The following is a 17291-nucleotide window of genomic DNA, read 5'->3' as shown; positions in this document are numbered from 1 at the left end:
TCTGGGAGGGTTTGTATATACGACCAGAAAGTCCCACATATTATGCTGTTTTGATGAACAAATTGACTTTCTAAACCGTTAATGAATTTGGTCATGCATTCTTAGAAGACGCCTAATCTAACCAGGTTTTGACTTTTTTTTTCCTTCATTAAAGCCATGCCTGCAATAGCTTTGGGTAAGATCCAAGGCATTATTTTCCTAAACTTTGATTAGCAGCTTTTATCTCTGTGAGAAGCTATCGTCTCTGTCATTGCTCTTCCACGCCCCCTGAAAAAGAAACTGTAAGGAACGTAATGAGAGCAGCACTAACTTACACACCAGATTTTATAGGATTTATGAAATGATGAGTTAGCACTTTTTGTACAATTTAACAGAAATCCAGCCTTACTGATTGTAGTGATGCTTCTAAAGGAGACTTGCTATGTAGTTCATCATCACCCATACAATCATTCCACCTCAATAAGCACTTCCAGTCTGTAAGAAGCTCAGGCTCAATTTCAGGCATTTTTGCCCTTCCCTGCTAAGTGTCCCTCCTTCAGATTTATGAAAGAAAACATTTCTTTCTGTGAAAGGTTTTTGTACACCCGCATCTGGAAGTGTTTATTTCAGTGGCGTGTAAGCTATCTGTGGATTTCGTTAGCACCAGACCCCCTTTTGTGTACTTCTGCCTTAAAAATTTTATAAATGATCTTATTGAATTTGTGCCAGTATGCACATGGTTTGGCTGATTGCAGCATATATCCTTTACCTGCCAGTCACCTTTGATTTATGTTCCTTCTGCTAAGCTTTTGCCTTCCAAAAATGGTGCCACTGAACTGTCCTCTAAATCATCTTATTGGTTAAATTACTCCAAGATGAGTTGGTATATTTTTGGTTGCCTACAGTCAGATGAATTTATATTTTTATGCCCTTACCCACTTCTAGTAAAGTCACTTATAAAGGAGGATTGGACAAGGTATATCATCGATCTCTTTATTCCAAATGAATACCATCTGAAACACTGTGCCAAGTCCAGACTAAAGTGATGAAGAAGTGTTCTTTGGCATCTACTTACAAGTCCTTCTTTTGCAAATAAGTCTGTAGCTTGAACTATAAATCTGATGTGGGGACTTTTTAATTCTCAGAAAAGGGGAAATAAAGTCACTGAAACAAAATATGTAAACTTTGTCAGAAAAATAGGGATTTTGTAGGCTTTCCAAAACTTTACTAACTTGTGAGTTTCATGATGTTTCTTGGAGAAAACCAGGTGGCTTAGCAGTTACTTAAAATGTTGGCTATTTGTGGGAGTGGTTTCAAGGGGATTCATATTTCTAAAGAGAGATCTTAGCTAATTCCTAAGACCTTTTGGCAAAATGATGCATCATTTTGAACTAATTTTCTAGAGATACATTGGTCATTTAACTTAATGTCACAGGTTACCAGCTGTATCACTAGATTACCCCCAATGAATTTACTTAGAGTGAATTTGCTAATGAGGAAGCCAATATTGTGCTGATAGAGCATGGCATTACCGATAGAAATTTTAAAGTAGGTTTTAAGTACTCAAATATCTCACTTAAGCCAGCTTTGCAAAGAACTGGTTTTTTTCTATATAATATATGATGATAGAGGAGTATTTTTAAATTTCCATGATTGTACTGGAAATGGTGTGGAAGTATTTAAAATACTTGGATTACACAGCTCTCAGTATCGTAGTTCACAAACTATTGTAAGCAAGGATAGAACTTCTAGGCTGCTTGGCTGTGGTCCCACCTAGCCTGGAGGTATTTATTCTAAAAGACTCATGAGGCTTCATTTATACTCCTGAAAATTTATGTGGTGCTCCCTGTGCTCTACCAAGGTGAAAGCTGTCTCAAGAGTCTGTCAGTCATATTTGCATGTTTAGACAGTCATGGCACTGACATGCTGTTCAGAGACGCAGCATATGTAGGGCTGCTGCTAATAGAAAATCACTACCAGAGATGTAAGCACTGTTTCCATTAATATGTCAGTTTGACTTTTAAAAACATATATGTACACACATGTATGATCTTTTAGATAGAATGTACATATATTGTACGTATATGTGTGTAAACATGTATATGTATGTGTATACAGTCTCAAATACAGTCTCATTTAAAATGATTATCCTAAATGAACCAAAAATTTAATGAACACTATTTTACGTAAATGACCAGTTAACATTCTACTGTCTTTGATGGTTTTTCAAGGGCTTTTGAGTCAGACAACTTGCCTGAGTCAGTTTTGTGATTTGTTAAAATTAGCAATTTTTTTTTTTCTTTTTGAGACAGGGTCTCACTCTGTTACCCAGGCTGGAATGCAGTGGTGCAGCCCTGGCTCACTGCAGCCTCAACCTCCCAGGCTCAAACAATCCTCCCGCCTCAGCCTCCCAAATAGCTGGGACTACAGACGTATACTGTCATGCCCAAGTAGTTTTGTTTGTTTGTTTGTTTGTTTGTTTGTTTTTTGTAGAGACAGGGTCTCACCATGTTACCCACAGCCTTGAACTCCTGAACTCAAGCGATCCAGCTGCCTCAGCCTCCCAAAGTACTGGGAAATTACAGACATGAGCCTCTGTGCCTAGCCCCCAAATTAGCAACTTTTAATAAGTGTCAGTAATAATACTTCAAAGCTTCCAGCACTGTGCTTAACATAGAACATGCTTAAAGAAATGCAGTATTTAAAAATCATTATTATCATATTAGAATTTAAATGTAGATTACAATGCTAGTTTGCCAATAGTACCCTTCAGAGAATCACAAAGGGAAGCCCAGCCTGACATTTGAGTGTGAGACAGAGACCCAGAGCCATAATTGGCTTTCTTTATAGCCTTCAAAAAATTCCCTAATGTTTCTATGTCCATTTTCAGTTAGTAATAATATGTTCTCTTTACCAAAACCTTTCAGAATATCTTGAGATCCACAAATGCTGGACTCCTTTCCTGCCCTGCATGTTTGCCCTTGTGTGGGCAAACAGACCCATTCTGAGTACCATTTTACTTCCCAGTGTCCATGGCATTACTGACCACATATGGGGAATAAGGCTTAGAGGCAGTAAGGGTATGGTAAAAAGATGAGGATCTACAGAAATTGTGGGTTCCAAAAAGTAACTACCAAAATCATTTCCAGGAATGAGAGCTTACTGAAGTTGGAAGCTTTAGATTGAAAGAAAAAAATGAAAGATGCAGTGTATTGTGAATTGGCTTTAATGATAAGTTTCCAGCTTGAGCATCAGGAAAGGATCCTTACCCAGAAATAGTTCCTACTTCTGCTTTTACTGATTCCTAAACTTCTACTAGTGTGGAGTCATTGTCATCTCTTAAAATATGTCTTTGTACACCTGTGAAAATTTAACGTTTCAAACATCTAGATGAGAAAATCTATAATTCAACAAAATTGTTCAGCAATAACACTTTAAGTTGATAATGTTGATGAAAAGAGTCAAACTCTGTAAAATATTTGAAAAGATTTATTCTGAGCCAAATATGAGTAACCACGGCCCATGATGCAGCCCTTGGGAGGTCCTGAGAACATATGTCCAAGGTGGTTGGGGTGCAGCTTGGTTTTTTACATTTTAGGGAGACATGAGACATCAATCAAGTACATTTATTGGTCTGGTCCAGAAAGGCGGGACACCTTGAAGTGGGGAGGGGTCAGGAGCTTCCACGTTATAGGTAGATTTAAAATTTTTCTGATTGGCAATTGGTTGAGTTATTATCAATAGAAATGAATGTCTGAGTTACAATAAGAGGTTGTGGAGACCAAAAATTTTATCATGCAGATGAAGCCTCCAGGTAGCAGACTTCAGAGAGAATAGAGTGTAAATGTTTCTTATCAGACTTAAGGTCTGTGTTGATGTTAATGCTGGAGGGTATAATGTGGCATGTCCAACCCCCACTTCCCATCATGGCATGAACTAGTCTTTCAGGTTAAATTTTAGAATGCACTGGCCAAGGAGAAAGTCCATTCAGATGGTTGGGGGGCCTTAGAACTTTACTTTTGGTTTATGGTAACTAGTATGATCTTTGGTTTATTCTCTTAGTCTATTTCAGCAGAACCGTAAATTATTCAAGACAGATGAGAATGTATACAGTTTCCAGAAATTTCCTAAGAATTTAATTGTGAAATCTTGGTCGCCAGGTTATCTTAGCATCTGATAGTTACATACTTTTCTTCAAACCTAAGTTGAAAGTGTTTCTTTCTCCCCAGTGGAAAGAAAAATGTGTAATGTTATATGAACAAACTCTCTGAGGCCCTTCCAAATTTTGGTAGCAGTATTTCTCATGCATTCAGTTGGGAGAATTTTGCCACTCTCTTTACTTTTATCCCAAGATGGCTTCTTAGCACTCATACTTTCTTTAGAGGTAAGGTAAGGAGAAAGAATTGGATGTTCAGATTTAGATAGATATGTGCCCAGGGAATTCCTGGTGATACAGGGCATGGTAGTAAGAGTCCAGATCTCATCTCTTTCTTACTTCCTTGACTTTGTTTGAACTGTTTTCTCCTTTTGGATCTAGTCCTAAGCTTTGACCCACTTGCTCCAAGATACATCGTATTTCCTGATCTGATCCACACCTGGTGAGGACCTGTATCCTCAGGTAGACCAAAGGACTGCGTCTTAATCATCTTGGGTTCCTCTCTCAGCAAAGGACAATACTTTTGTTTATTTGTAGCTCAACATAAAAGATTGATGAATGGATGGACAAGTGTACAGAACGATGGTCTGAAGAGACAACAGCCACCTGATAGAGTCCAATTTTAATCTCCCTAATCAGTTTTAGGCCCCTCAAACTTAATGTGCCTTATATAAATGTACACTTCATTACCTATGATTAATTTGCATATGGGTAACTGCAGGGCAGCCAAAAGAAATCATAAGATTGTTTGATTATTACTGTCCAGGATTGATCATTGATTCCTCATGAATCCAAGGCAAAATAATGCCCAAGCTACCTCATGAGTAATACCTGTTTTGAAATAATATGTTCAGTGGGTAGTTATGTACTACCCTAACCATACTGGGAAAAGTATGAAGCTGAGCTCCTAGCACCATGCTGGAACTATAATTGGAGCTAATAAATGCCTGTTTAATTGACCTTTGCACTCTGCACCTCATTCAGCACTGAGGAGCAAAGCTCCACATAACCAACAAGAAAGAACTTTGCTGTCAATTTTAAGCCTCTGAGGATTATCTTTTAACTTCACTGATAAAACTCTTTAATCATTTTGCAAAAGTGGCTTTTAGGTGACTAGGTAATATGTATAAAACATTTAATCTTCATGGTTACTTTTATCACAGAAGTCCATTCTGTCTACCTATTTGTTCCTGACAGCAATTTTTTAAAAAAATGTATTCAAAGGAGCAATGCCTAACTATTAGGTTCTGGATAGAATATTATTATAATAGAATATTATTCTTTGTAATGGTACTTGATGAAGGCAGATTTTACTCATGTGACTATTTTATGAGCTATTAAATGGAAAATATTTAATGAGGACTCAAGTTGATAGTTGATAAACATTTGTTATGAAAATCACAAGTTACACATGAAACTATATGATAGGGGTGGCACTGAATCATCACTATCCATTTAGGAAGCTTTTGTCTGAAAAATTTTAGATACCAAAAATAACCACTTGGAAAACAAAATTTGAAGAACCCCAAGTAGCAGAATAATATGGACAGTAAGACGCATCTATTTGTTAGATGAATGTGTGTTCTCATAGACACAACCTAATTTTTCTGATAAAAGTGCTTTTGTTAGTGGGATGCTTTTGTAGAGTTGCAGACACATTTTTATTATACATTTTTATGTGTAGTCATCAATTAAGAAAAGAGTCTAGACGTCTTGTTTTCAAATTTGGAAGTTATGTTCTCTTCTTGGATAACAAATTCACATGCAGCCATGAAATTCATCAGGTTCCCATGCAGACTGTAGTTGTCTACATTCTTAATGAGGAGCCCTTCTCTCATCCTGTTAAGAAATTCCCAACATAAAATATTTTGTGCTATATGGCTAAATAAAAAAGCTAGACAGCTGCAAGTTGAAGATGGGGCTTCACATGTTTCCTGACTGGAGGAGAATTCATCTTTTTTTGTTTTAATTATGCCAAATAAAAGCCAATGATAAACACAGGCATGCTGTGACTCTGCTTTCCTTGGGAAAAAGAGAAGAATTCTCAGCATTGTAGCAAAGAAAAAATAATGCAAAGAAATGTGTCCTAATGTAGACTGTCAACTGGAAGGATGATGATTCTACTCCATTATGCAGATAGAGATGAGCCTTGGGAAGAAAGGGAGAAGAAATCCCCTCTCCCATCTACAATCAGGAAATGCAATTCTCTGAAGCCTCTTTTTCCTGAGGGGTAAGCTTTGGTTTGCCTCTTCTTACTGGCCAGGGAAATCAGTTTTTCTGATGAACAAAGAAGAATGAGAGTCAAGTATTTCACACATTTTCTTGGGAAGAAGGCATTTTCCAATCAATGAATCGACAATAATTTTGAATTCCTAGTGTATTATCAGTGCAATATTAGACACTGGAGAAGAGAGAAGGGGAAGAAACTGAACATCTATGGTGCCTCCTCACCTAGCACAGTAACTGCCACATTCAGAGCCAGTGTTCATTTCCTTCTGTATCAACTATCAACAGCTGAGAACAAAAAGAGACTTTACATTTAATTGTAAGGAGGGCAACAGTAACTCATTCTGTAGATAAGTGTTAAACTTCACATCATTGGTTCTAGGTGCTTTAGGAATCCAGAGGTAAAGGGAACAACAACTGGAATAATCAAGAATCTCTGCCAGTGATTCTTGTGGGGCAGCACTACTGCTCTCAGACCAGGCAGAAGGACTCCTGCCCCAGGTCCCACAGTGTAGAGAGTATCTCCTATCACAAACATTGTTCAGGTTCCACTTCTCCACATCTCTTACAATGTGCCCTGAATAAGAGGCAACTGATGATGAATGGGGATGCAAAACATAGTATATACATACAATGAAATATTATTCAGCCATAAAAAGGAGTGAGGTTCTGATACGTGCTATAACATGGATAAACCTTGAAAATATTATGCTAAGTGAAATAAGCCAGACACAAAAGGACAAATACTGTATGATCCCACTTACTGGAAATATCTAGAATGAGCAAATTCACACAGGCAGAAAGTAGATTAGAAGCTACAGCAGTGGGGGAAGAGGAGGAATTATTGCTTAATGGGCACAGAACTTCTGTTCGGGATGATGAAAAAGTAGATGATGATGCTTGTACAATATTATTAATGTAATTAATGCCACTGACTTGTACACTTAAAAATTGTTAAAATGACAAATTTTGTTATATATATTTTATCACCCCCTGCCTCCAAAGGAAACTGCTGCTGAATTCCATGAAGTTCTGTGGATTGTGCTGCCATGACTTCGTAGACAGACACTGCTTAAGTAAGAGCAAGGGGAAGATTTGAGCTGCAGAGCTTTTATTTAAGAGGGAAAGGAAATTAACTCATCAAAGCCTTTCTCTGGGTATGAATGCAATAGTTTCTGGCATAAGGAAGCATTGTTTCCTAGTGGTGCCAAGCATCAGTTTTCTTGCCTCTCTCCATGTTCTAATTCAAGGTTCCAAATATGCTCACAAATTAACACAGTATCCACAGCAGTTGCAAATGTTAGCTGAAAAACAGTAACAATTCGTATTACCCTTACACTGGTACATATTTAGGCCTAGATGTAAAGTGCATGAACTGTAATAGTCATTCCTTATATTGGCAACTATATGGATAGTAGACATTAGAATTGTGAATACCTTCTTTAAAATAGAAATATTTAATGAGTCCATTAAATTTTCAAAAAATTATAATAAAAATTGCAGCTTTATTTTAAAAATTTAAAATCATCTGAAGGGCAAGACCATCATGATGGTACTAATACAGCTGACAAAAGAAAAGGTATACATGCCAGAATTTTGGCATAAATTCCAGAAGTATTTTTTATGCCGTAAGTAATGCATCGTCTTTTGAATGTATTGCTAGGAGTTGTGTCAATAACAGTGACATTCTTTGGAACAATTTGGAAGATAGTTATGATATTTTCTGAATCTGCCCAAAGGAAAAAACATCCTAATTAAATATATACCAAATTTGACCTTGCAACCACTGTCAAACATGTGGTGGGAATGCTGACTAAAAAATTTAAGTGATTAATTCTAAGACAAAAGAAGATGCACTAAAAGAGAACAACAGAAGATTCTCAAAGCCTTTTTGGAGGAAAATGAAATCAATTTTGAATTGTGCTATCAATAGTTACTTGATATGGATAATAATGTTAGCAAAAGCTTACCAATAGTGTTAGCAATAGCTTTAAAAAAAAACTCATCAAAAACAATTATATCTAAGTTAGACTATTTCATTTATAAAAGAAGCTACTTTTTTTTTTTTTTTTTTTTTTTTTTGAGATGGAGTCTCACTCTGTTGCCCAGGCTGGAGTGCGGTGGCATGATCTCGGCTCATTGCAACCTCTGCCTCCCAGGTTCAAATGGTTCTCCTGCCTAAGCCTCCCGAGTGGCTGGGAGTATAGGCACCTGCCATCATACCTGGCTAATTTTTGTATTTTTTAGTGAAGATGGGGTTTCACCATGTTGGCCAGACTGGTCTTGAACTCCTGACCTCGAGTGATCCACCCTCCTCGGCCTCATAAAGTGCTGGGGTTACAGGCGTGAGCCACCATGCCTGGCCCCCTTTTTTTTTTTTAATTTGAAAGAAAATACATTTTCTAAATCAAAGAGAAATTAGAAAAAGGAAATGAAAATATTTGCCTAATTATGAAGAAGATTCACAATCTTAATTTCTTTAGATAATATTTTCTGGTCATGGTAGATAAAGGCATATTATTCAGAGAAAAGTATTTCAGTGACTGTCTTATCATTTTGGGGTTTATTTTGTTGTTATTTCTGGAAAAGTTACTTAAATCCCATGAAGTAAGTAAGGGGATGTGCATTGTTTGAAAAAGTTTTAATTTTGTCATTTAATTGGAAAATGAGAACAATGGTTATTAATTCTGAAATAAAAATGAAAGGAATATAGTAAACAATTTTCTCCACCAGCAAGATACGCAGTAGAGAAACCTTGGGAGAAGATAAGAGACTGGGAATGAAGGCATGACATGTAAGGATCTGGAGCTAATGGGAAATGTTGGGAAACATGGAAGGTCAGGTTTCAGTGACACCTTGCCAGCCTGAAGGTCCAAGGTGTAGGGGAAAAGAGAGAAGGAGAAGATAGGGGAAGGGAGGTTCTACAGACAGGTAGAGAGTTGAGCATGATTACAGGACTCAGAAGACAGTGGGGAAATAGGCCCAACTGGAGCAAGGGAAGTGGGTTCATGAGCAGAGGGAACTGCAGCCCAGAAATCCCAGTAGCAATTTTCTTCTTCCTCTGAAACACTTTAAGACTTTTGGTATGTATTGTCCAAATACTTTCCAAAAGCGCTATGCTACTTTACCCTCCCACCAGCAATTCGTGAGAGTTCTCATTTCACTGTATTCATGCCAGTATTATTGTGTTTTAAACTTCATTTAAAGTTTGAAAATTTGATAGCCTGCCAACATTTCTAAAATGGTAGCATTCCCTATTTTGAAAATGTTTCCTGAAGACTTGTAATGCCCTCAGCCTTTGGTATAATGGGAAGAGCCCTGGGCCTGAGCTAGGTGTCAGAGCCCTTACCTACAGGCCTTGAGGACAAGTCCATGCGCCTCTCTCCATCTGTAATGTGAGAGTCAAAAAACAGGCCCCTGCATGGTGCCATAGTGGTTGAAAAGGTTAAAGGAGATAATAAAAGTGAACAGTCTTCGTACATAGGAAAATTCTAGATAACTATAAAATTCAAGATAATTGTTATATATTAGTATGCTACATGGTTAAGACTTAATCTGAGCATTTTATAGGATAAGTGTGAGCTTAAAGATGTAGCACTTCTGATCCCAATTTTTAAAAATCAAAATCAGAGGTTGGGGAAAGGACTAAATAGGTGATCCAGAATTTCATATAGAAAATGAAATATATAAGAAGAGCCAGGAAATTTCTTGAAAAGTATAATTAGGGAGGGAGTTATTAATTAACTAGGCCCAATATCAAAACATTACAAAGCTACAGTAATTCAATTTGATGTTAATACATAAATAGATAAATTGAGCAGCCTAGAAAGATCAGAAATACACCCAAATATGGATAGCAAGTTTAGCATATGATATAGAAAAAATTCCCAAAATATGTTAGTAACCACACACACACACACACACACACACACACGCACACACACACACACACCTCTTAGGTATAGAGCAGCAGAAAGATACATAGTGTTATTTATATTAAGGGGGTAATTAAAGATATATTTTTATAGCTATATGTGTATACATATATATGCTAGTATATACATAGAATTATCTGGAAGGACACATGAAAATCATAAAAGTAGTTGTTGCTGAGGAGATAGATGAAAGCTTATTATTTAATATTTCCCTATGCTATAATTTAGAGTTTCTAAACCAATTTTCCACTATTACCTATTTATTAAAATTTTAGAGACAATATTAGCTCAGAGTAAGGCTGAACCAGTGAGTACTTCTATAAACCAAATATTTCAATATTTTTTTTTTAGTTTGTACTCAGATATTTTAGTGGCCTACATGTCTGATATGTCAGGAATTATATATACCTACCTTTCCACAGTTCTTTGCATAGTGCTAGGCACAAAGTTGGCTTGCAGTGAAGACTTTCTGGGGTGTAAAGGTGACTTTCCTTTACACATGGAATGGGTCTAATTTACGAAGCTAGATTGCGTAGTTGGCAGTTCTCTTAAATACTTTCCCCATAGTACCAGTGTGAAATAGCAAATTTTTGGCAGCCAGGCAAGTTCCATGAATTCATGCGTAGTATGTCTTTTCTGTTTAGAATTGAGATTCAGTGCCCAGTGTCTAGCTTTTAAAAATGGTATTTCTGGCCAGACACGGTGGCTTATGCCTGTAATCCCAACACTTTGGGAGTCCTAGGTGGGCGGATCACGAGGTCAGGAGATCGAGACCATCCTGGCTAACACGGTAAAACCCCGTCTCTACTAAAATTACAAAAAATTAGCTGGGCATGGTGGTGGGCGCCTGTAGTCCCAGCTACTTGGGAGGCTGAGGCAGGAGAATGATGTGAACCCAGGAGGCAGAGCTTGCAGTGAGCTCAGATAGCTCCACTGCACTCCAGCCTGAGTGACAGAGCGAGACTCCATCTCAAAAAAAAAAAAAAAGAAAAGAAAAAAAAGTTATTTCTAAAAATCTTGCTACATTTTTGCACTGGTTAAAATTAAATTCTTTGGACACATGGGGAGTTGTTAAAATTTTTTCCTTGAGAAGGTCAATGAAATGGATTTCAGCAGTTTTGGTTATTTCTTGCTACTCTTTCAAGTTCTCCTGGCTCTTTGGTCCTCCACAGTTCCTTACTTTACCATAGTCAGAGCCACATCATCAAAACTTATCTTCAGAAAGTAACTAAGCAAGTTTTGTTTTTCTTTTTCTTTAACTTAACATTGAGGAAAATATAGATAAACATTCATTACTAATATTTTTAGCAAATCAGAAATTTTGAAAGCCTGTGAGGTCAGCATCTCACAAAATGGAGACAGCCATGTTGTGTACAAGATGAAAAATATCACCTTCCAAAACAATAATGCCTGTAACAACCGCATACAAATTAGAGTATAATAATTTTACTGTTTTCCTTTTTTGAGACAGAGTCTCACTGTGTTGCCCAGGCTGGAGTGCAGTGGCATGATCTGGGCTCACTGCAACCTCTGCCTCCCAGGTTCAAGCAACTCTCCTGCCTCAGCCTCCCAAGTAGCTGGGATTACAGTTGTGTACCACCATGCCTGGTTAACTTTTTGTATTTTTAGTAGAGATAGGGTCTCACCATGTTGGCCAGCCTAGTCTTGAACTCCCCACCTCAGGTGATCCGCCCGTCTCAGCCTCCCAAAGTGTCGGGATTACAGGCATGAGTTACCATGCCCGGCCACTGCTTTTATTTTATAGGTAAGAAAACTGAGACATTACATAAAAAATGAAATCCATTGTACAATGCTAATACAGTCAAATATCGTGAAATAGATTTGGTGGCTTAACCATCATTTCCCACCTTTAAACAATAAACATTATTCCCCCGTAAAGGAGGTGAAAAATTACTCAGATTAAATATAGTGAAAATAAACATCATTAATTAAATACCACTGTCTAATCTCTGCATTCATTTACACTCTGGAGTAAAAAACATAATGGTTTTTGTTATGGCTTCATATTTCTTTAAAATAACAAATAGTTTTCTAATTTGAGAAACATAACTAGTGTCATTTGGTTTTTAAAAGAATTGTATCTTAATCATCAAGGTAATGACACAGCAAGAAAACAATGACGTTAATCACTTGAAGGTTGTGTCCGTCTACATTCCACATCTAATCAGACACCCTTAAATTCCAGCAGAAAGTCTATGAAATTCATGGGTCAACCTCCAAAGTACATCAGGAAAAGTACTAATGCATTTGAGAGTAAAAACAACAATGGCCAAGAGCAGGAGAACATCTTATTTAAACTTTTGAGATAATAAAACAATACAGACTGGGAACCCTTGTGAATTTTTTTTGTTTGTTTTTTGAGACGGAGTCTCACTCTGTTGCCCAGGTTGGAGTGCAGTGGCGCAGTCTCGGCTCACTGCAACCTCTGCCTCCCAGGTTTAAGCGATTCTCCTGCCTCAGCCTCCCAAGTAACTGGGATTATAGGGGCCCACCACCATGCCTGGCTAATTTTTTGTATTTTTATTAGAGACGGGTTTCACAATGTTGGCCAGGCTGGTCTCAAACTCCTGACCTCGTGATCCGCCCAACTCGGCCTCCCAAAGCGCTGCGATTACAGGCATGAGCCACCGCGCCCAGCCACTGCTTTTGTTTTATAGGTAAGAAAACTGAGATATTACATGAAAAATGAAATCCATTGTACAATGCATAATACAGTCAAATATCGTGAAATAGATTTGGTGGCTTAGCCATCATTTCCCACCTTTAAACAATAAACATTGTTCCTCTGTAAAGGAGGTGAAAAATTACTCATATTAAATATACTGAAGATAAACATCATTAATTAAATACTACTATCTAATCTCTTTGCATTCATTAACACTCGAGTAAAAAGCATAATGGCTTTTGTTATGGCTTTATATTTCTTCAAAATAACTAAAATAGTTTTATTATACTTTAGGTTTTAGGGTACATGTGCACAATGTGCAGGTTAGTTACATATGTATACATGTGCCATTTGATGTGCTGCAACCATTAACTCATCATTTAACATTAGGTATATCTCCTAATGCTATCCCTCCCCATCCCCCCACCGCACAACAGGCCCCGGTGTGTGATGTTCCCCTTCCTGTGTCTATGTGTTCTCATTGTTCAGTTCCCACCTGTGAGTGAGAACATGTGGTGTTTGGTTTTTTTGTCCTTGCGATAGTTTGCTGAGAATGATGGTTTCCAGCTTCATCCATGTCCCTACAAAGGACATGCACTCATCATTTTTTATGGCTGCATAGTATTCCGTGGTGTATATGTGCCACATTTTCTTAATCCAGTCTATCATTGTTGGTTGGACATTTGGGTAGGTTCCAAGTCTTTGCTATTGTGAATAGTGCCGCAATAAACATACATGTGCATGTGTCTTTATAGCAACATGATTTATAATCCTTTGGGTATATACCCAGTAATGGGATGGCTGGGTCAAATGGTATTTCTAGTTCAAGATCCCTGAGGAATCGCCACACTGACTTCCACAATGGTTGAACTAGTTTACAGTCCCACCAACAGTGTAAAAGTGTTCCTGTTTCTCCACATCCTCTCCAGCACCTGTTGTTTCCTGACTTTTTAATGATTGCCATTCTAACTGGTGTGAGATGGTATCTCATTGTGGTTTTGATTTGCATTTCTCTGATGGCCAGTGATGATGAGCATTTTTTCATGTGTCTTTCGGCTGCATAAATGTCTTCTTTTGAGAAGTGTCTGTTCGTATCCTTTGCCCACTTTTTGATGGGGCTGTTTGTTTTTTTCTTGTAAATTGTTGGAGATCATTGTAGATTCTGGATATTAGCCTTTTGTCAGATGAGTAGATTGCAAAAATTTTCTTCCATTCTGTAGGTTGCCTGTTCACTCTGATGGTAGTTTCTTTTGCTGTGCAGAAGCTCTTTAGTTTAATTAGATCCCATTTGTCAATTTTGGCTTCTGTTGCCATTGCTTTTGGTGTTTTAGACATGAAGTCCTTGCCCATGCCTATGTCCTGAATGGTATTGCCTAGGTTTTCTTCTAGGGTTTTTATGGTTTTAGGTCTAACGTTTAAGTCTTTAATCCATCTTGAATTAATTTTTGTATAAGGTGTAAGGAAGGGATCCAGTTTCAGCTTTCTACATATGGCCAGCCAGTGTTCCCAGCACCATTAATTTAACAGGGAATCGTTTTCCCATTTCTTGTTTTTGTCAGGTTTGTCAAAGTTCAGATGGTTGTAGATATGTGGCATTATTTCTGAGGGCTCTGTTCTGTTCTATTGGTCTATATCTCTGTTTTGGTGCCAGTACCATGCTGTTTTGGTTACTGTAGCCTTGTAGTATAGTTTGAAGTCAGGTAGCGTGATGCCTCCAACTTTGTTCTTTTGGCTTAGGATTGACTTCGCGGTGCAAGCTCTTTTTTGGTTCCATATGAACTTTAAAGTAGTTTTTTCCAATTCTGTGAAGAAAGTCATTGGTAGCTTGATGGGGATGGCATTGAATCTATAAATTACCTTGGGCAGTATGGCCATTTTCATGATATTGATTCTTCCTATCCATGAGCATGGAGTGTTCTTCCATTTGTTTGTGTCCTCTTTTATTTCTTTGAGCAGTGGTTTGTACTTCTCCTTGAAGAGGTCCTTCATGTCCCTTGTAAGTTGGATTCCTAGGTATTTTATTCTCTTTGAAGCAATTGTGAATGGGAGTCCACTCATGATTTGGCTCTCTGTTTGTCTGTTATTGGTGTATAAGAATGCTTGTGATTTTTGCAGGTTGATTTTGTATCCTGAGACTTTGCTGAAGTTGCTTATCAGCTTAAGGAGATTTGGGGCTGAGACAATGGGGTTTTCTAGATATACAATCATGTCATCTGCAGACAGGGACAATTTGACTTCCTCTTTTCCTAATTGAATACCCTTTATTTCCTTCTCCCTGGCCAGAACTTCCAACACTATGTTGAATAGGAGTGGTGAGAGAGGGCATCCCTGTCTTGTGCCAGTTTTCAAAGGGAATGCTTCCGGTTTTTGCCCATTCTGTATGATATTGGCTATGGGTTTGTCATAGATAGCTCTTATTATTTTGAGATGCATCCCATCAATACCTAATTTATTGAGAGTTTTTAGGATGAAGGGCTGTTGAATTTTGTCAAAGGCCTTTTCTGCATCTATTGAGATAATCATGGTTTTTTGCCATTGGTTCTGTTTATATGCTGGATTAGGTTTATTGATTTTCGTATGTTGAACCAGCCTTGCATCCCAGGGATGAAGCCCACTTGATCATGGTGGATAAGCTTTTTGATGTGCTGCTGGATTCGGTTTGCCAGTATTTTATTGAGGATTTTTGCATCAATATTAATCACAGATATTGGTCTAAAATTCTCTTTTTTGGTGGTGTCTCTGCCCGGCTTTGGTATCAGGATGATGCTGGCCTCATAAAATGAGTTAGGGAGGATTCCCTCTTTTTCTGTTGATTGGAATACTTTCAGAAGGAATGGTAGCAGCTCCTACTTGTACCTCTGGTAGAATTCGGCTGTGAATCCATCTGGTCCTGGACTTTTTTTGGTAGGTAAGCTATTAATTATTGCCTCAATTTCAGAGCCTGTTATTGGTCTATTCAGAGATTCAAATTCTTCCTGGTTTAGTCTTGGGAGGGTGTATGTGTCCAGGAATTTATCCATTTCTTCTAGATTTTCTAGTTTATTTGCGTAGAGGTGTTTATAGTATTCTCTGATGGTAGTTTGTATTTCTGTGGGATCAGTGGTAATATCCCCTTTATCATTTTTTATTGTGTCTATTTGATTCTTCTCTCTTTTCTTCTTTATTAGTCTTGCTAGCGGTCTATCAATTTTGTTGTTCTTTTCAAAAAACCAGCTACTGGATTCATTGATTTTTTGAAGGGTTTTTTGTGTCTCTATCTCCTTCAGTCCTGCTCTGATCTTAGTTATTTCTTGCCTTTTGCTAGCTTTTGAATTTGTTTGCTCTTGCTTCTCTAGTTCTTTTAATTGTGATGTTAGGGTGTCAGTTTTAGATCTTTCCTGCTTTCTCTTGTGGGCATTTAGTGCTATAAATTTCCCTCTACACACTGCTTTGAATGTGTCCCAGAGATTCTGGTATGTTGTGTCTTTGTTCTCGTTGGTTTCAAAGGACATCTTTATTTCTGCCTTCATTTCATGATGTACCCAGTAGTCATTCAGGAGCAGGTTGTTCAGTTTCCATGTAGTTGAGCAGTTCTGAGTGAGTTTCTTAATCCTGAGTTCTGGTTTGATTGCACTGTGGTCTGAGAGACAGTTTGTTATAATTTCTGTTCTTTTGCATTTGCTGAGGAGTGTTTTGCTTCCAACTATGTGGTCAATTTTGGAGTAAGTGCAGTGTGGTGCTGAGAAGAATGTATATTCTGTTGATTTGCAGTGGGGAGTTCTGTAGATGTCTTTTAGGTCAGCTTGGTGCAGAGCTGAGTTCAATTCCTGGATATCCTTGTTAATTTTCTGTCTCGTTGATGTGTCTAATATTGACAGTGGGGTGTTAAAGTCTCCCATTATTATTGTGGGAGTCTAAGTCTCTTTGTAGGTCTCTGAGGACTTGCTTTATGAATCTGGGTGCTCCTGTATTGGGTGCATATATATTTAGGATAGTTAGCTCTTCTTGTTGAATTGATCCCTTTACCATTATGTTATGGACTTCTTTGTCTCTTTTGATCTTTGTAATTTTAAAGTCTGTTTTATCAGAGACTAGGATTGCAACCCCTGCAATCCTGCCTTTTTTTGTTTTCCATTTGCTTGGTAGATCTTCTTCCATCCCTTTATTTTGAGCCTCTGTGTGTCTGTGCACATGAGATGGGTTTCCTAAATACAGCACACTGATGGATCATGACTCTTTATCCAATTTGCCAGTCTGTGTCTTTTAATTGGAGCATTTAGCCCATTTACATTTAAGGTTAATATTGTTATGTGTGAATTTCATCATGTCA

At 37.7% G+C, this 17291-nt stretch overlaps 1 protein-coding gene across 23 annotated transcripts in view; it reads left to right on the top strand.

Moving 5' to 3' along the window:
- Positions 1 to 17291, top strand: part of SUPT3H (SPT3 homolog, SAGA and STAGA complex component) — a 568878-nt gene that overhangs the window by 458497 nt on the left and 93090 nt on the right. For 7 of the 23 annotated variants that reach the window (NM_001350324.2, XM_011514953.4, XM_011514954.4 and 4 more), the window contains one exon: positions 7367 to 7437. The exons of the other annotated variants lie outside the window; for them this stretch is intronic. In NM_001350324.2, coding sequence (NP_001337253.1) covers positions 7367 to 7414 — 48 coding nt within the window. In that variant the 3' untranslated portion in view covers positions 7415 to 7437. The remainder of the gene's footprint in view (positions 1 to 7366; positions 7438 to 17291) is intronic. 23 annotated transcript variants of the gene reach the window in all.

Source organism: Homo sapiens, chromosome 6 (assembly GCF_000001405.40).
Source record: "Homo sapiens chromosome 6, GRCh38.p14 Primary Assembly".
NCBI classification, from domain to species: Eukaryota; Metazoa; Chordata; class Mammalia; order Primates; family Hominidae; genus Homo; species Homo sapiens.
This window is presented reverse-complemented; position numbering and strand designations above follow the sequence as displayed.